The sequence below is a fragment of the Homo sapiens genome, chromosome 10 (genome assembly GCF_000001405.40).
Source record: "Homo sapiens chromosome 10, GRCh38.p14 Primary Assembly".
Taxonomy (NCBI): Eukaryota; Metazoa; Chordata; class Mammalia; order Primates; family Hominidae; genus Homo; species Homo sapiens.
In genome coordinates, this window is record NC_000010.11 from 35,176,669 (window position 1) to 35,197,003 (window position 20,335).

The following is a 20,335-nucleotide window of genomic DNA, read 5'->3' on the forward strand; positions in this document are numbered from 1 at the left end:
AAAGTGCTGGGATTACAGGCGTGAGCCACTGCGCCCAGCCAGTGCTGATGCTGTTTTCATGAATAATCACCTTAGTAGGTAGATATAAATTTATAATCACCTTAGTAGGTAGATATAAATTTATTTTAAATTCGGTATACATAATTCTTGGTAAGATGATATTATTAATGTATCCCTCTCGATTAAACCTTGGCTTTTGTAGATATGATTATTATTGTGGTTGTGATCCAGAGATGTATTTTACCCTTAACATTTCTTGAAGTTAAAACATTTTTTCCATCAATAGATGTAAATTATTAAATATGCATTTTTTAAAGTATGCATCTTAATTACTGAATTTATTTTTGTTCATTTTTAAGGTCAGTTATTATCCTTTAAATGCTGAAATTATTTGAACCTAATTGATGACAAAAAAAAAAATCTGTGAGGAAAATGGAGACACGTATACATAGTATAGTCCTTTTCTTGCGTGTTCAAGTAGTTTATCACAGTAGAATGATAAGAGTGGCGACAAGATACCTGATGTGACAAATTCACATACATTAAAAGCTTGATTATCTTTGTGGCATGGGTATTTTCTCCTGTGTTTCCCAGAAGTGTAAGAATAATTCTCATCATTATCTTTTTTTCCTGTGATGGCCCCTGATTCCAAGAGTTTCTAATTCTTTCTGACACTAATTATAAAACAAGAAAGTCTTTCCAACCTCTTCTTTGTTTTATGACTTTTATTGAGGTCCACATATTTCTACTTAGTTTTAACCTGGCTGGTATTGGAAGAAAGTATTGTCTATTATTATTATTTATTATTTAATAGAGACAGAATTCTCAGTATGTTACCCAGGTTTGTGTTGAGGCCCTGGCCTCAAGTGATCCTCTTGCCTCAGTCTTTCAAAGTGCTGGGATTACAGATGTGAGCCACAGCACCCGGCTGAAAGAAAGTATTCTGTTATATTCAGTAGACTTTGTTTGGATTTTGTTAAGTGAACGATTTAATTGTCCTTGTAGAAAGAGGTGCCAGTGGATCTTGTCCTAGAATACTTACGTGTTGGATCATGGTCAAGCCACTTAATCTCTGTGCATGAACTTTAATTTTCACCTTTCTAAAATAGGTAAATTAATAGCCTACCTCACCTAAGGGAGTTGTTATGATTCTATGACAGATGTGTGACAGCCCGGTGTAAAATGATAAATATTTAATATTTGGTGGTGATATATGATTATCTGAGGCAACAACATTTTTCTCAGTCCTGTTGATTGGGTGTGTGTGCTTATGTGTGGGGCGTTCATGAGCAAAAACACGAGTCATATGTGGAGGTGAATATACACCTCCGTGTACTTCGGGAAGTATATATTCTTGCTTGCATTGTTGATATTTTAATAAGCTCTTTTGATTTTGTCCAAATCAATTTCCCATGTAATTATAATATGAAGTGAGTTTTGTAAACTCTGCTACCCTAGGCCCTCAAAGTATTAATAATTGACTGAATATATCAAAATCAGTCATGTTGTTGAAGAGATTCATTATTTTAGTTTTCTGACTTCTTTAATAATCATATCACTGTATTATTACTTGACTTGAAAAATGAAATCATGCTTAAAACTCTGATCTTTCTCTTAAGGAGAAATGCTTTATTTGGATCTTCAAGACCCACCGCCACCAAGCCCTAACTTACTCCTTGTAATAGAAATCCTGATTTTACCCAGGCTTGCTTACTGACTTGCTTATCTACTTAAATATTCTGTCTTGGGCCTATCTGATGGCTAATGTGAAGACCCAGCTCACGCCAGCGCCAGCTGTGAGAGTGTGGGAACAGCAGTGTGATCCGGGAGCTCTCTTCTGCGTTGGCCCCTCGCTGGCTCCCTCCTGGATTCGTAGGAGCACTTTCAGGTTGAGGAGCTTAGGTCTTGGGTATTTTACATTTTGTTCTTTCCTGCAATGCCTCATTTGACATCCCAACCACTCTTTCCCTAGTATTTCTGTAGTATAGAGTACCCGTAACATTCCTTTCCACACACATTTGTTTTATAACTGAAATGTTTGCGTCTGCGCTTCCTTTCTTGAGCCAGACTCCTTCAGTGCAGATTCACTGTGTTCTATTGCTCAGTTGCTTCCACAGCTCCTGGCTCAGTGCTGCACACACAGACTCTTAGCCTCAATTTTTTGAATGAGGGAAAAGAGCATATATTTTATGATACATTTCAGAAAATCTTGTATTATAGGTAGCAGCAATTGCAGAGACAGATGAATCTGCAGAATCAGAAGGTGTAATTGATTCTCATAAACGTAGAGAAATCCTTTCACGAAGACCCTCTTATAGGTAAGTTAACCAAGTTTCCTAATGTAAAGATACTTTTTCCAAAATGGTAGAATAATTATACATCAAATCAATTCTTCCTTTATAGCTTTTCTGTTTTAAGACTTATTCATGTATCTTAGTGACTTACCTTGTTAAATTGTATTTTAGGAAAATACTGAATGAACTGTCCTCTGATGTGCCTGGTGTTCCCAAGATTGAAGAAGAGAGATCAGAGGAAGAAGGAACACCACCTAGTATTGCTACCATGGCAGTACCAACTAGCATATATCAGACTAGCACGGGGCAATACAGTATGTATGCTGCAATTCGATATGATACAGTGCTAGCTTTAAGTCTTCTCTAGTTATATTGAAGCAACTCAGGTTTTGGCATTAAATTGTTCCATTTTAAAATGCATCATTAATACCTAAACTGTATCATAGAATGAAAGTATATGTTAAAAAGTGAGATCTTTGTATTGACAGCTGTCATATAATTTTGAAAAGTAAAAATTTTGACTGCCGAATATAGAAGAAAATTTTGGGGTAAAAAGGAGAATTTTTCCTATTTACATGTTTATATTAATCTCTAGTAAAACATTGTTTTTGTTGTCTTTATGATGCATGCGAACATAAATGTCTGTATTTCATTCTTGTTGGCTTTTGTTACCCACAATTACATACTATTCTTACTAATCTGAGAGTTTTCTAAAGTATGTTTTCAATGTTTCACTACTCTCTACTCTGTTAATTTGTGCTACAGTTTTTCCTAAAAGAGAATGGAAAAATGATTTAATTTTTTAAACTGTAGCAATTGGATAGATAATTTTATTTGAAATTTTACACACTGAAAGCTCTAAATAAACAGATACATTCACATTCAGTCTTGTGCATTTTAATGGACCGTTAATTCTGTGCTTTTTGCTCTGATTAAAGCACTAGTTTTTTTCCCAAAAGAAGAGTGTTTGATACGTAAAAAGCAAGAGCTAGAAAGAAAAGAAAAAGGAGGAGAAAGGTTAGGGATATCACATATCCTAAGCTAGCCCCTTAGGTACTGGAATAATGTGATATTCCTGTCCTTTCTGAAGTATAAATTGTCCATGGAAGTTGTCTAAATCAATTTCCCATGTAATTATAATATGAAGTAAAGTGAGTTTTGTAAACTCTGCTACCCTAGGTCCTCAAAGTAATTGAACAAATATATTGACAGCAGTCATGTTGTTGAAGAGATTCATAATTTTAGTTTTCTGACTTTAAAAAGAGCTACTTAGGTACTGGAATATATGTGATATTAAATAATGTGTTTATCCAAATAAGGTATTAAGATTTTAGATATATTCTTTGTTTTTCCTTTAAAAAGTAGCAATACCAAGAAAAAAAAACTCAAGTCTTAATTTAAGTCCTGACTACTAAAACAAGCTATAATCTTTAATGTATGAGAAGACTTTATATAGTCATTATTTTTGTGGAGCTTTTTAGAGTTTTTCTTGTAGCAGTGGTAGATTTGCAGTAGTAAACTATTAAATACATTCTCTGTTGGTAATTGAGGGGAACTCCTACCATGATACCTAGCAGATCCGGGGTGTAGTGTATTCACACGTTTGACAGGGCACCCAGTAGACTTGTCCAAAGTCAGTGTTAGGAAAAGAAAATCCCCACCATCTGTAAGAAATAGACCTTGAGGTTTACATTGTCATTTTTTTATTACTTCTCTCGTTTACATGCTCTTTTGTCTGGCACACTGGGAATCTCTGGTGGGTTTTAGAACTGTAAAACTGAATATGCCAGCTGATGAGCCTCTACAGCACAGCACGCAGGTTATGAGAGTGCTGAGTGCCTCGTCCCCCCGTCCCCAGAGGGGCTGGGCAGAAGCTGCTGGCGCCTCCTGGCTGGTCAGCCCTGGCCTTGAGCAGCTCCATCCACTCACCCCAGTGGGCTGTACACATGTCATCATGTTCTGTTTGTGTAATGACAGGGAAAAGGTTGGAAGTGACTGCTGAAATGACACTAAGACTTCTCAAAGTGTTGGGAACCACTAAGATGCTGTCATCGTAACATTTCTCTGGCATATGCTAATGCTACTTAGGACTTCTGATAGAAGCAGTGATTCCTTTACAAGTTGATAGGGAAGCAGATGCTGTAGGGTTAACTTGTCTAGATTATTAGCTGAAAATTTGAAATTGTGAAAATGTATGGGGTTGAAGCTGGAGAGGATGTGGAAGGAACCATCTTTGTGCCATTTGCAAACTCAATGATCAGAGCAAGAAGCTTTATTAAATTCACATCTCAGGTTTTAGTCTTTGAAGTGGGAATAATACTAAATTGCCAAACTCTGGGGTTCCTGTGAAGACAAAGGAGATAATGGGTAAAAGTAGGGGGAAAAAGACATGCTACTATTGGCATGAAACAGAGAAATTAAGTTAGGTGTACCATTGTCTCATTCATGTTCATTGAACTTTCCCTCCAGCCAGCCCCAATGGCTTCATTCCCTGTGTCCTTGGTACCTGCTCACAGCAGGGGGCTGGCCTTAAACCTCACTCTGTGTGTCTGTGGGGGGGATGAGAGGAGCAGAGTCAGGAATTTTGGTTGAGAACTAGAAAACTGCATCTGTAGAAATTAGATCTTAGGCCAGGTGTGATGGCTCCCACCTGTAATCCCAGCACTTTGGGAGGTCTAGGCAATGAGGGTTGCTTGAGGCCAGGACTTTGAGACCAGTCTGGGCAATAGAGTGAGACCCTGTCTCTACAAAAGAATTTTAAAAATTAGCAGGGTGTGGTGGTATGCGCTCATCCCAGCTACTCAGGAGGCTGAGGTGGGAGGATTCTCTGAGCCCAGGAGTTTGAGGCTGCAGTGAGTTATGATTGCACCACTGCACTGTCCAACCTGGGCAGCAGAGTGAGACTCTGTCTCAAAACAACAAACAAAAAAAACACATCTGTCTATTTGCCACATAAGAGGTCATGGACTATTTCTTACTTTGGTTTCTTAATTTGAGTCTATACAGTATGATCCTAGAAATTATTCTGATGAGAAGTTATAGTTCTGTATGTACAGTCTGCAGGTAAAAATTGCCATTTGTTCACACAATGTGAATTTCTTTTGTTAAAAATGCATTTTGGGGACATTTAGTGAAATATATGTAGATAATTCTTTGAGAAGTGAATACTAACAACATTCAAACTTTTTAGAAGACGTTTACTTTAATTGGAGGGTAAACATACTTACACACACAACATCCATTTTTATTGATCTTATTTTTTATAGAACTAACTTAGCAGATATTAATGCTTTAATGTTGTAGCAGAATGTCTAGAAATGGAAACAATTGCCAGTTTCCTTTGGTTTTTGAATAGAGGAACGTATTTTATTAGAATTTCTGGAGATTTTCCTATTTTTTTCCTTCCCTTTGAGCTGTAAATTTTTTTTAATGCTCTTTCATAACCTTTTATTATAAAAAAAAATTTTAGGTTTAATTGTTCAGCTTTTATCCATGGATGGCTTTCTCCCAAACTTTGCTTTTATTTCTTTTTTTCCAATATTTTATTAGTTATTTTTAATTTGGAATAATGAGTTAGCTGGTGTTTAAAAGAACTAAATGTGTATCAAAGTTGAAGAAATAAAGTATATTCAAGTTTTCCCATATACAAGCAGTTACATTTTTAATAGTTGAAAGATATTTGGCAGAAGTTGGCCTTATTATATTGACTTACTATTATCACAAAAACTAAAAAGTGAAAGTTGGAATAGGCTGCTCCCTGGGGAGTAGGAAAAAGCATAAAATAGACAGGGATCCATTATTACAACACCAAGTAAGTGAGCTGTACCTGCAGAATCCTCACTGGAAGTACAGATCTTAGTGATAGGTGTGTTGCATAACAGTTGAGCTGGTCGAAGAAAGTCTTTTATTTCAGAAGCATATACCCGAGAGATGGCGGGAGAGAGACAGCCTTAGAATTAACAAAGAATGTTACTTGCTGCATGAGACAGTTAAGATAGGCAGTAAATGAGTGAATTTGTAAAAGCAACCGAGGAAATTAAAATGTTTGAAGCTTCCTAATTCATTAAATTTCCTCTTGAAACAAAGGTTACTTAAATCCTCCATCCTACTATACCCAACCTCTTCCTGTACCAATTAAAGACTATCACCCAAGACTTCAGTTTTTTTCCCACAAATGGCCCTTGTCTCTGCTTGTGCCTATTGTATTTTACGAGGAATCTTATTAGAGTATTAACTCATCTTTCTGGAATTCTTATACATGAAAGGTAAGTGGGTCAATCTAAACTGCACCATTATGAAAAGAAAAATATGAACTTTGTGGACTCCTTATAAGAATTCAGAATTCTCAGGAGGCTCACGAATAAGCACCAATTCAACTTCTTCATAAAGGGAATTAGAACATAATAGGCTTACACATTCGAAAGTTAATCCAGTTGCAGTTCTTAATAGTGACGTTGTTTACATTTCTCTAAGGCAACTGTTTCAAAATTTTTTAAGGCACTACTTAATGTAACTCTGGCTTTTAAACTTTGATGTTGCTATTGTTGTTATAGCATGATTTAGTCTTCCTTCTGCTATAATGCACCTCTTGGCTTTTAAGGTACAAGTACTCATAGGTGCTCTCTTATGGTCACTCTGAATTTAAACCTGAGAATTCATTGGAACAAAGGTCTGTTTGCTGCTGTTTTTAAAGTTAATGCAGTGAGATTTCATTTATGAATCTTTGGATTGCAATTTGGAACAAGAGTGGTTTTAAATATAAACATTTACATGTGTATGTATTTTAATTAGCTCATGTGTATAAATTTAGGATTAGAAGTATATAACATGGGCCGGGCGTGATGGTTCACGCCTGTAATCCCAGCACTTTGGGAGGCTGAGGTGGGCGGATCACCTGAGGTCAGGCATTCGAGACCAGCCTGGCCAACATGGTGAAACCCCATCTCTACTGAAAATACAAAATTAGCCGGGTGTGGTGGTGCACACTTGTAATCCCAGCTACTTTGGAGGCTGAGGCAGGAGAATCGCTTGAACCCAGCAGGTGGAGGTTGCAGTGAGCTGAGATCACACGATTGCACTTCAGCCTGGGCGAGAAGAGTGAAAGTCCATCTCAAAATAAATGAACAAATAAATAAATAAGAAGTGTATAACATCGCCAGGCTTGGTGGTTTGTGCCTGTAGTCCCAGCTACTCAGAAGGCTGAGGCAGAAGGATTGCTTGAGCCTAGCAGTTTAAGACCAGCTAGACCAATATCAGGATGTGGGGCAACACAGCAAGACCCCATCTCTTAAATAAATAGCTAAAATAGAAGATATGTCTAAATTCATTCAGTTAATTTCATCTTATTTTTTCTATCTTGATTTATGTTTATTGAAAGCACATGTTATGCTATCCTTGACTATTTTGAAACCTAAACAGTTTTCTCCTCAAATCTCTGAATACAGACAGGCCCACGTAAAACCTATTTCCAGGATCCTGAGGCACTGGGAAATTTTGTTTATTGTCAGATGAGAGAGAACATTTTCAATGGGAAGGTCCTCTGTCATTTGATAACAACAAAATCAAGAGCACCTTTGGCATAAAAATGAAAATGAGGCTGACGTGCCTGACTTAATCAGTAGAAATGTTTTCTCACTAGAGCCAGTGTGTGAGGGGTGTGTGTGTGTGTTTGTTTAGCTTTTGTTTTCCATATCTAATTATATAATGACTTCCCCAGAAAATAAAATGAGAAACAGATTCTTGATGTGTCAGCTGTTCATATTGTGAAAACAAAGTTTTTTGATCAGAACTGTGGGGAAACATTACTGAAAAGAAAAAAGGAAACGAGTAAAGCAAAAAGAAAGAGAAAAAAGGAAGTAAAGGTCTTTGTTATCTACCTATTTAGGGGTTCTTACCCTGAGGCAGCTACTCTCACCTCAGATTGACTTGATCGTTATTTAAAAGCTTGATAATTTGGTGTTGAAAAACTAGGTTCTATGATTGGAATTTGAAACCATACCTCATTTAACTCTCCTAGATTCACAGGGGGCTTAAGTTTTTTATAATATCATCTGTCATGAGGAAATGATAGCCATTCATTCATTCATTCATTCATTCATTCATTCTATTTTTTGAGTGGCTGCTCTGTTCTAGGCTTTGTACTTCTTTTTTTTTTTTTTTTGAGACGGAGTTTTGCTCTTGTCCAGGCTGGTGTGCAATGGTGCAATCTCTGCTCACCGCAACCCCCGCCTCCCAGATTCAAGCGATTCTCCTCCCTCAGCCTCCCGAGGAGCTGGGATTGCAGGCATGCACCACCACGCCTGGCTAATTTCTTGTATTTTTAGTAGGGACGGGGTTTCTCCTTGTTGGTCAGGCTGGTCTTGAACTCCTGACCTCAGGTGATCCACCAACCTCGGCCTCCCAAAGTGCTGGGATTACAGATGTGAGCCACCGCGCCCGGCCTAGGCTTTGTACTTCTAATACACTGTGGTTACCTGACCTTGGGCTGCTCTTTCTAAAGCACTATTTCTGTGACATCAAACTAATTATCAACTGAAAAATACACATTCAAATATATGAAAACATACACAATTTACTCATGTCTAGCCACAAGGGGCCAAGAAAGCAGTGTCTTTTGACATTTTCATACTTGTAAGAAGTTAGTTAGATCTCTCTCAAACCCTTTTACTATGAGGGCTGAATCCTGAGACCCATGAAATCTTTGGAAAGCCATGGTTTAAAAATACCCTGTTTTTAAAGTGTGTACAGAAAATAACTGCTCTAGGTGAGCCAGATAAAGTGCTGTTACATCAGGGTGTCTCAACCTCAGTTCTATTGACATTCTGTAACTGACTCTTCAGTTTCTGCCACACTGGCCTGTCAGTGAAATAAAACACAGAGAACGCAGCATGTGGAAGTCTTTTTAAAAATGTTAATCTATCTTCCTGTGTAGACACTGGCACCTTAGGTGAAAGAAGTGAAAATTTGTTGTTGTTACTCTTTCCATAATTCTCATAGGTTTGTCCTATCAGGTTATCGCCTAAGTGCTTTTTTGCCTAGATGCCTTTAAAAACGTTTGGAAATGACTTGAAAATATTCAGAGTGTATTTTAAACACTACTGTTACGCTACTGTAAGGTATTTACATTGATGTATAGATGTCATGTTATTCTGGTGATGTGTTTTTAAAATCTTCATTGTAAAGCCTAGTTAGCTAGTTTATATGTGATTTTTTAAAAAGCATAGCCTCTGGTACCATTTAATATCTACTGTTTGAAGCATGCAGTTGGAATCTTTATGTTAAAATATACAGACCTTTCAGATATTTTAAATAATACTTGTCTATTAGAGTGAAATTTTGAAACAAAACGTTTGATCAGTTATTCTTTGGAAGCTTCAAGTCAATTAATATGTTAACTTTTAAACATGACTGGCAGATCTCAGTATTTAAAGGAAATCTACTTCCTATTTGTTGCCATTAGCTGTAGTTACTTGAGATACTTGGTAGAGGTAAATATTGTAGCACAAATCCTTTTAGTAACAGTTACTTTTTAAGGACCTTTGCAACTTGACAATTTATATTTCAGGATTCTCCTGACATAGACAAAATGGCAAAGGTTACAGTTTTCTAGACTTTAGCTTTATAACCAAAATATGTTTTTATATATATTTATATATAAATATATAATATATGTAAATTATATAGTTATATATAACATATGACATATATAATTATAATAAATATATATTAAAAATTTTGGTCATATATACAACATATATAACTATATATAATTATATATAGTTATAATTATATATAGTTATATATAATATATAACAAATTATATATAACATAATTATGTTATATATAATTGTACATAACATATATACATATATAGGTATATATACGTATATATGTTATATATAATTATATATTATATATAAAATATAAATAATTATAAAAATATAATAATTATTAAAATATATGTTATATATAAATACAATATAAATTATATATATAAATATATAATTTATATATTATATGTGATATATATTATATATTATATATAATATAATATATAATATATATCACATATAATATATATTATATATAATTAATATATATAATTAATATAATAATATATATAATATATAATATATATGATATATATTATATAAATATATAAATATATTAATATATTAATATATAATATATATAATATATATTATATATTAATATTAATATATAAATATATTAATATATAATATATATTATATATTTATATATATAAAATATATAATTATATATAACATATATAATTATATGTATGTTGGTTTTTTTTTTTAGATGGAGTCTCTGTTGCCCAGGCTGGAGTGCAGTGCCGCAATCTCAGCTCACTGCAACCTCCAACTCCCGGGTTCAAGTGATTCTCCTGTCTCAGCCTCCCGAGTAACTGGGACTACAGACACCTGCCACCACACCTGGCTAATTTTTGTATTTTTAGTAGAGGCGGGGTTTCACCATATTGATCAGGCTGGTCTCAAACTCCTGACCTCAGGTGATCTGCCTACCTTGGCCTCCCAAAGTCCTAAGTTTACAGGCGTGAGCCACTGCACCTTGCCTATATATTTCTTAAAAACTACTTTCTTTTGATGACAAATCAGAAAAGTAGTTAGCTGAATGAAGGTAGAAATTCATTTTAATTGCAATATTAAATGGGAATTTTTCTTTTCTTTTCTTTTCTTTTTTTAGAGACAGGGTTTTCCTGTGTTGCCCAGGCTGGCCTTGAACTCCTGGGCTCAAGTGATCCTCCTGCCTTGGCCTCCCAAAGTGCTGGGATCACAGGCATGAGCCACCACACCTGGCCTTAAATGGGAATTTTAAATGGTAGAAGAATGGTGTTTATAAGGAAAAACATCTGAGAGAATGGAGAAAACCAGGAAGCTGGACTCTCCCTGTCTCCTTCTCCACTCTTCCTCTTGAGTGATGTAGTCAGCTGGATGCTAAGGAGGAGGAACACTCCATGGGCTCTATGAATCTCAAACATTTCTGAATATAAAATATTTTCAAGTGTTTATAAGCTTTTCCTAGAGTATCGTCCCATGACGAAGCTGATCTTCCTTCTCAATTCAGCATAGAAAATAAGGGTAACCTGAGAAAGAAGCAATGGTAATAAATAGACCCAGAGTATATTCTTCCAATAGGGGATTATTAAAAATAAATCTTGAAATTCTCTAATATTTCTTTTCTTTTTCTGTTAAGTTGCTATAGCCCAAGGTGGAACAATCCAGATTTCTAACCCAGGATCTGATGGTGTTCAGGGACTGCAGGCATTAACAATGACAAATTCAGGAGCTCCTCCACCAGGTGCTACAATTGTACAGTACGCAGCACAATCAGCTGATGGCACACAGCAGTTCTTTGTCCCAGGCAGCCAGGTTGTTGTTCAAGGTATATTTTATTAATCTAATACATTTAGAATACCTATGGATTACTATATCACACCATTGAGTGGTGATTTTATAGTTTTTTGAAATAGATCGAAGGTAGATGGTGGGGGGTTGGGAGGCACTTAAAAAGGCTTACAGAAGAAATATTTTAATACATTAAACAGCAAATTAAGTTTTATCATTTTTCGCCTTTTAGCAGGTTTTACTGGCTCTGGAGAAAGGCCAAATTCAGAGTAGCATGATAGAAAAAGAGAGATAGAAACATGAATGAATTTTTTTTTTTTTTTTTTGAGATGGAGTCTCGCTCTGGCGCCCAGGCTGGAGTACAATGGCGTGATCTCGGCTCACTGCAACCTGTCTCCTGGGTTCAAGTGATTCTTCTGCCTCAGCTTCCCGGGGAGCTGGGATTACAGGCATGAGCCACCACGCCTGGCTAATTTTTGTATTTTTAGTAGAGACGGGGTTTCACCATGTTGGGCAGGCTGGTCTCAAACTCCTGACCTCAGATGGAGTCGTCCTGACCTCAGGTGGAGGCCTCAGCCTCCTAAAGTGCTGGGATTACAGACGTGAGCCACCGCACCCGGCCACATGAATGAATTTTTAAATTAATTAGATATCCTTCATTTGGGGGTTGCAAATGTTGTACCTAATAGATTTCTATTACCTAATCTATGACAATTTAAGTATTCAGGCTATGATGCCCCAAATTTGTTTTTTTCCCTAGCTGTTACTTTCAAGTCTAATTTCTAGGCAACTCATTTCAAAACAAATGCTGACTTTGGGTTTTTTGTTTTTTTTTGTTTGTTTGTTTTTTTGACTGACTGTTCTTAGTTGTTTGAATTCTGAAGTATCCATTCTAGCTCTTATGGAAGCTGTCAGTAATGAAATAAAAGTTGAGATGTAGCCCTAAGCTTTTAGGGTTACCTGAGATTTCAACTGGATTTGCGTTATACATTATTTTAATTCAGTTGTGCCTATGATAACTGTAATAGATGTATTTAATACAGCTTTCAAAACTCCTGTGTTTTAATTGAATTCTATTCCTCTTGGTCCATTCGCTTAGGATTTAGGATATAGCACTATTTTTTAAAAATTTGCTTGCTTGTTTGTTTGTTTGTTTATTTATTTATTTATTTATTTATTTTTGAGACAGAGTCTCGCTCTGTTGCCCAGGCTGGAGTGCAGTGGCGCGATCTCGGCTCACTGCGACCTCCGCCTCCCAGGTTCAAGCAATTCTTCTGCCTCAGCCTCCCGAGTAGCTGGGACTACAGGTGCATAACGCCATGCCCGGCTAATTTATTGTATTTTAGTAGAGACGGGGTTTCACCGTATTGCCCAGGCTGGTCGTGAACTCCTGAGCTCAGGCAGTCCACCCACCTTGGCCTCCCAAAGTGCTGGGATTACAGGCAGCACTAACGTTAAGGAAAGTAAAATCAGTTATTTTAGTTCGAATGTCTTGCAGGTATGATAAGCATATTATAATTGATGAGTCTCTTGATAATTATACTCAGGTATTTTGGGGGTTAATGTGGACTATGGTAAAAGTGTGTGAAGAACTGAGGTGGTGGCATTTATGGAGTAAAAAATGCATAGTACAAACCCAGTACTTTAATGTTTTCTTGAAATGTAAAATGAAAGCCACCTGTTCTATTCCCCCCATACTCATGGACCATATTTATGTCTAGGTGAATAATCTTAAAGAATAATTATTTCTTCTCATTTTATCTTTGTTACATGGAAGAATCTACTGCAAACAACAGAGTTTTGAGAATTTTTAATGTTTTACACAATATGCACGTAAGTTTGTGCCTTGGGGTTTTTAAGAATTTTCTTCCACAAGTCACAAAGATTTTTTTCCACATTTTCTTCTATTTGCTTTATGGTTTTACCTTTCACATTTATGTCTTTAATGTATCTGGGCTTCACTTCTGTATATAGTATTTGGTGGGAATTCATTTTTAACTTTTTTCTCCGTATATGGAGCCACTCCCAAGGGTTTGTTGTTTCCTCACTGGTGTATGGGGCAGCCTTAATTAGACAGTGGGTTTGCTTTTGCACCTGGATCTGGCCAGTCTTCTGTCTGATTCATCTTTTTCTGAATCCCAGCGCCATACATGTTTGTTATCTCATAAAACAAGTTCCCCTTGTCTTTTTTCTCAGTTTGATACAGAGTTAGTTTTTTGTGCACGATTATTCTTTCATATGCATTTGGAATAAGTTTGAGTTTCTAAATAGTAGTAGTAATAATAATAATAATAAAACCAATGATGAGACTGCATTAATTTTTTTTTTCTTGAGATGGAGTCTCGCTCTGTTGCCCTGCCTGGAGTGCAGTGGCACGATGGCTCACTGCAAGCTCCACCTCCCGGGTTCACGCCATTCTTCTGCCTCAGCCTCCCAAGTAGCTGGGACTACAGGCGCCTGCCACCATGTCCGACTAATTTTTTTGTATTTTTAGTAGATACAGGGTTTCACCATGTTCGCCAGGATGGTCTCGATCTCCTGACCTCATGATCCGCCCACCTCAGCCTCCCGAAGTGCTGGGATTACAGGCATGAGCCACCATGCCCAGCCAAGACTGCATTTAATTTAGGGAGAGCTGAAGTCTTCATAATGTTAAGTTGACCTATCCCAAACCATAGAAAGTCTTGTTTATTCAGATCTCATTTTACTTCTTTTAACAGTTGAACATTTTTCTTTTTATTTATTTATTTATTTATTATACTTTAAGTTTTAGGGAACAGTTGAACATTTTTCTTCACGGAGATCTTGCATATTCTTTCTTTAGTTGGTTCCTAAGTACTTTATGGGTTTTGTTGCCATTACAATGGTACCTTATTTTGTATTGTATTTTCTAATTGTTGCTGGTGTAGAGAAATACGGATTATTTTAAGTCGATCTTTTATCTATTAACTTTGCTGAACTCTAATTACTTCTAATAATTTACTGATTCTTTGTGATTCGGTCTGTGATCCTATGTGAATGTTTATACAAATAGTGATGTTTTGTTTCCTCCCTTCCAATCTTTATTCCTGTTTTCTTTTTCTCTTTTTTTCTTTTCCTTAAATAATCATGGCCAGGAGCTCCAGTTTAAACACAGCAAGGCCAGTGGGCATTCTTGTCTTCCTGAACTTAGTGGCAGTGTTCCCTGCCCTCCTTCTCCCTTCATCTCACTGAAGGGCCCTGTCAGCTTCTTTGTGGATTCTCAGTGCCTGTCTTGGCTGATGCCTCAGCAGTATTTAACACTGTCGACTTCTGCTTCCTCCACTTCCTGAGACTGTGTCCTCCTTGCTCTTCTCTCTCTGCTGCTTCTCTGTCAGTCCTGTTGCTGGGCTAAGCTTCCCCTGCCCCTGTCCTGAGTGTTTCAGTGATCCTCAGGCTCACTCCCCCACCCTCTTCCTGCTGAGCTCCCTCCCTGAAGGACTCCCTCCCACGCTGGCTTCAGTTCACTGTGACTATGTCCTGACTCCAGCTGGTTCCTTAGATGGCCACACATACCTCTGACTCCTAAAATCCACTCTTCCTATCTTCAGTGATTGACCACTACTATCCTTGATGCCAGAAACCTAGGTGTTGTCCAGTATTCTTCCCAGTCTCCATTCAAAGTCACTGTGTAGATTCTTCTGCCTGGCTGAGCCATGAATGCTTCTGCCACTCCACAGCCCTCTGTCCTGGCCCTGGCCCTGGCCTGGGTGCTATCCCTCTGACCCAGGCTACCCCTGTGGGCTACAGTCTCCGGCAGCCACCGGAAGCTGGCTATTGTGGAACAGCTTTCTGATCCTCCTAATCATGCCAGAGGCAGCAGCTCCCTTCTTGGCTCAGTTTTTTGGGAATTGTTCCTGAAAGTTCAGCTAAACTCTTCATTCCTCACAGTGATTCTGGGAGCCACTGATAGTTCTTAAAAACAGCAGTTTCTTGCCCCCAACATCTCCATTACTGCATTGCACTTGTTTTGTTTTGTTTCGTTTTGTTTTGTTTTGAGACAGAGTCTCACTCTCTTGGCCAGGCTGGAACACAGTGATGTGATCTTAGCTCACTGCAACCTCTGTCTCCTGGGCTCAAGCATTTCTCCTGCCTCAGCTTCCCGAGTAGCTGGGATTACAGGCATGTACCACCATGCCCAGCTAATTTTTGTATTTTTAGTAGAGACGGGGTTACACCATGTTGGCCAGGCTGGTCTTGAACTCCTGAGTTTAGGTAATCCGTCCATCTCGGCATCCTAAAGTGCTACGATTATAGGCATGAGCCACCACACCTGGTGTCTGGGGTCTTTTTAATAAGGGCACTAATCCTGTTCACAAGGGTGTCACCCTCATGACCTCATCACCTCTCAGAGGTTCCACCTCCAAATACTATTGCATTGGAGGTGAGGATTTCAACAGAGGAAATTGGGTGGGGATACAAACATTCAGTCTATAGCATCCACTCAAAAGCATCCATCAATGTCTGTGACCTGTTAGACAAAGCTCCAAATCTTTCATGTGGCCCAAATCTTTGCTTGATCCAAGCCTTGCATTCTTTAATAGCTGCCTACCTCTCCACTTCTCCCTCTTTTGTAATACAGCTCTTTCTTTCATTTCCTGGGATAGGCCATGCCCTCTCTCCCTCCAGGGCCTTCTTCACACATACCGATTGCCTGATAAGAATACGTTCCCCGAGGAAGCCTTGCCCATCCTCCACATCTGGCTTAGGCAACCTTCTGTGAGTTCCTACTGTACTTCCTTAGGCACATATCATGTTGTGTTGTGGCTCTCTGTCTTGCTAGATGGTAAGTTCTATTTGGACAAATACCTAGCACAGACCCTGGCATGTGATAAATGTTCAGTAAGCATTTACCAAATGAAAGTGAACTGTTCTTCCTCTGAAAATGTGATTTGTTCTGTGTGCTGATTGACTTGAGATTAACTGGTCCAGGGAATACATTAAAACTACTAAGAGCAGTAATCAACTAAGCAACCCATTTCCCTTCTTTCTTTCCTTCCTTGCCTTTTTTTTCACACCAATATTTATTGAGCATCTATGTGCCAATTTAAAGAAATGCTGACATAAAAATCAATTTCTTATTGATTTTCTGAAATTTGAAATAAAATTTACTAATAGCATTCTTGGACCCAAACCCTCAGGTGTGACTGGGACAGCAAAGAGTCCCTGCTGGAGCCCCAGATTGAGGTTGATGTCTAGGTGACCATCCAGGGTTCCTTACTCAGCCAAGATATCTTCAGCTGAATTGAAACCCTAACCCCATTGTCAGGTATCCTGGAGAATTACTAGAAACATGGACACTCCCTGAAACTTTACCTCCTGAGCATCTGAGGTGTAAAGTCCTTACCTTTACTGGAAGATGATTAAATTAAATACAGCTAAAATGTGGTGGGATGTCCTTTCATTGACATAAGGTTGGGTTGAATTCTAATCATACAAGGGAAAGGGCTTTGGGTGCGGTGGCTCACACCTGTAATCCCAGCACTTTGGGAGGCTGAGGTGGGTGGATCACCTGAGATCAGGAGTTCGAGACCAGCCTGGCCAACATGGTGAAACCCCGTCTCTACTAAAAATACAAAAATTAGCCAGGCATGGTGGGCACCTGTAATCCCAGCTACTTGGGAAGCTGAGGCAGGAGAATCATTTGAACCCAGGAGGCGGAGGTTGCAGTGAGCCAAGATTGCACCTTTGTACTCCAGCCTGGGGGAGAATAGCGAGACTTCATCTCAAAAAAAAAAAAAAAAAAAAAAAAAAAGACAAAAGGTCTCAGTGGCATGTCACTTATTTTTTTGCAGTGGAAATGCCAATAATTTTTTTCCAGGCTATGGTCTGTTCTATGGTTGAACATTCGCCCATTTTTGTGTCTAACCTTATAATCACTGAATTTCCTATAATGATCCAGCTCTCTATGTGCCAAGCCTTCATTAAGTGATCCAAATAAAATTTGACATTTAAAAAAAATGTACAAATAGTAATTTTGATTTATTTATGAATTTTAAAAATCCCAAATGTCTTTTCAGGGGGTTTTAATCTGGGAAAATAAGGTATTAGATTGAATCACATGAAACTGCTATTTTTGTAGGCCAGAAAGTTCAAATATCAGCAAGTTCATGTGATTCAATCTAGTAGTTATGGGAGAATACTACATAATACTTGCTCCATTGGCACAGTGAATTTTTAAAATTTAATTATCTACTCCCTTTAAGTGAAAGTAGCAAATTCTGTATCACCTTAGGAAGAGTTGGATTTTTTGATGGTGTAGCAAATGGCTCAGCAAATAAAAATGTTAAGTGAACACAGGTGGCTGGATATTTCTTGGTGAGTTTAGAAGTGACTATGAAATATGGTATTTCTTTGCTGATAGTCAATGTGTTTTTTTTTTTTTTAAATCTCCAAGTGTTTTTTCTCTTATGAGTTAGGAAATTATGTTGGGTTTATTCTCCCTTAGTTTACCTAGAAGCCTTGGACACAACAATAATAAAGAAGTAGCCCTGTAAGATACAATCATGTAACTTTTAATGCTAAAAGAGACATTATTATTATTATTATTATTATTATTTGCTAGAGCCCACCTCAAACAGATTTCTATGTAAAAATGAGAAACAAGAGCATTAAGATGGTTTATTACAGGAAGAGTTTTTATAGGGCTTGGGTTTCAGTGAGCTCGCCTGTGACAAAGCAAATTGATGGCAGTGATAGGCTAGTGATGTCATTGTGATGTCAGTCCTCCTGCTTATCCTGCACATGCTTGCTAATTTGGAACACTTTATGTTGAACTGTGGTAGAGGAAACAAGACAGTTCTGTCTGCAGAAGCCCATTATGGCTGTAACTGGAGATGACACAGGTAAGAATGTTAAAGAGGGGTTTTCAGTTAATTGTGCAGATTGTTTTGAAGTTTAGGAAGTATTCAGGAACATCTGAGTGTTTCAGAAAGTGTTACTCTCCTAGTCACTTAGGTGTAAGACTTTTTTTGAAATATACATCTATATATTCAGCTCACTTTGTTAGGGCATCTTAGTGTGATTGTTTCTTTGCTCAATATTCTATTGCTTGCTTGACTGAGGCACTAATCCTCTCTTCCTCCCTCTATCCTCCCTCCCCTCCTCCCCACTCTTCCCCTCCTCTTCTCTTCCCCTCTCCTCCATCTCTGTGTCTCTCTTTCATATGCATACCATTCTGCCCTACTAAAATAAGCTGTTACTTCATAGGCAACCTGTTGCAAATTCAATCTAGCCGCAGATTAAACATACAGTATATACCGTTCATGTTCTGATTTCATTACTGTGGACAAATGCAGCTCCAAACAGAATAGGAAAAACCCGCGTGTTATGGATGTTTGTGTGCCTACTTGTTTCTTTCCTCCTGTATTTAAAATGGTCTGTTCAGCTAATTGAGTTCAAAAGGCTGATGTCATTACATTTCCTGGAATCGTATTTCAGCAGGGGAAGTGGAAAAGTTAAAACTCCAAGCGAGCTGCACATTGACGTCAGCTCCGAGTCATGTTGTGATTTAGTCAGTTCCTTTCCGCTTTGTAAAATGCTGCTGACAGATTTAGAGTTAACTAGCTCACCACTGCCTCTGCCTCCAAGCTGCCTTTTAGACTGAATAGCTTTTCTTGTTAGCCCTACTTTAACATTTCTTTTGAAGTGGTTGTCTGCTTGAAGAGGGAAACACGTCATGAAACTGTAATGCATGAACAGAACTCAGGAGTTGTCTGGCCAGCTTAGTGGTAAGATCGAGCCTCCTACTGAGGCCGTCCCTGCATGCGCCTGGTGAGAAATGGATTATGTATTGTATAAGCTGGCGGGTTCTTTACTCTTACTCCATCCTCTTACTCCATCTATAGGAACTTGCGATTCAGAGCTCCTCTAGTGTTCAGTCAGGGAAGTGCTTGTCTTTTACTTGTTCTCCCAGCCTCTGGTATTTAAATTTGTAATCGGTAATTTTTCACTAGGTTTGCTTTTCTCAGTAACAAAGAGTGATTTTGGAAGACTTAGTTACTAATAACCTTTGTGTGCTTGCAGTGTTGTTTATTCAGTGGTCTTGTTTGTAATACAGTACTGAATTTGCAGTTGAATTAAGAGTTTTAAACAACTTCACTACAATTTAGCTCTTCGAAGTTAATGGGTCTCAGCCCTCTTTGTGGATAGGAACATTGGATTGTCTTGAGTAAGTAAAACCTGTATTACATTGTTTTTAAAACTGTCTTGAGGAACTATTTTTTTCTCGAAGTTTTGTGAAGTTCTAGAGATGCTATAGACTGCAGAACTCAAATGATGAATTTATTATAAGACATAGATGAACTTAAAATCATCTCAAACACTGCATGTCATATGATTCTTAGAACCAGAAGGCACTTTTGTACATATATTTTCTAAAAATTATTGGTTAATATCTTTCTTTACCAAGCCTTTCATTCCTATTACCCCTTTGACTTGTCTAAGCATAAGACTCATAACAAAAAATAAATAAAATGATGTGAAAACGCTGTGTACTTTTTTTTTTTTTTTTTTTTTTGAGACGGGGTCTCGCTCTGTCGCCCAGGCTGGAGTGCAGTGGCGCGATCTTGGCTCACTGCAAGCTCCGCCTCCCAGGTTCACGCCATTCTCCTGCCTCAGCCTCCTAAGTAGCTG

At 37.8% G+C, this 20,335-nt stretch overlaps 1 protein-coding gene across 83 annotated transcripts in view; it reads left to right on the forward strand.

Annotated features, from left to right (window-relative positions):
- Positions 1-20,335, forward strand: part of CREM (cAMP responsive element modulator) — an 86,113-nt gene that overhangs the window by 49,823 nt on the left and 15,955 nt on the right. For 26 of the 83 annotated variants that reach the window (XM_024447824.2, XM_047424625.1, XM_047424628.1 and 23 more), the window contains 3 exons: positions 2,221-2,318; positions 2,466-2,608; positions 11,532-11,720. The exons of 5 other annotated variants lie outside the window; for them this stretch is intronic. In XM_024447824.2, coding sequence (XP_024303592.1) covers positions 2,221-2,318; positions 2,466-2,608; positions 11,532-11,720 — 430 coding nt within the window. Of the gene's footprint in view, positions 1-2,203; positions 2,319-2,465; positions 3,180-11,531; positions 11,721-18,464; positions 18,547-19,181; positions 19,475-19,760; positions 19,872-20,335 lie in introns of those variants that run through there. 52 more of the 83 variants (XM_047424630.1, XM_047424629.1, XM_006717382.4 and 49 more) reach the window with 13 other exon arrangements.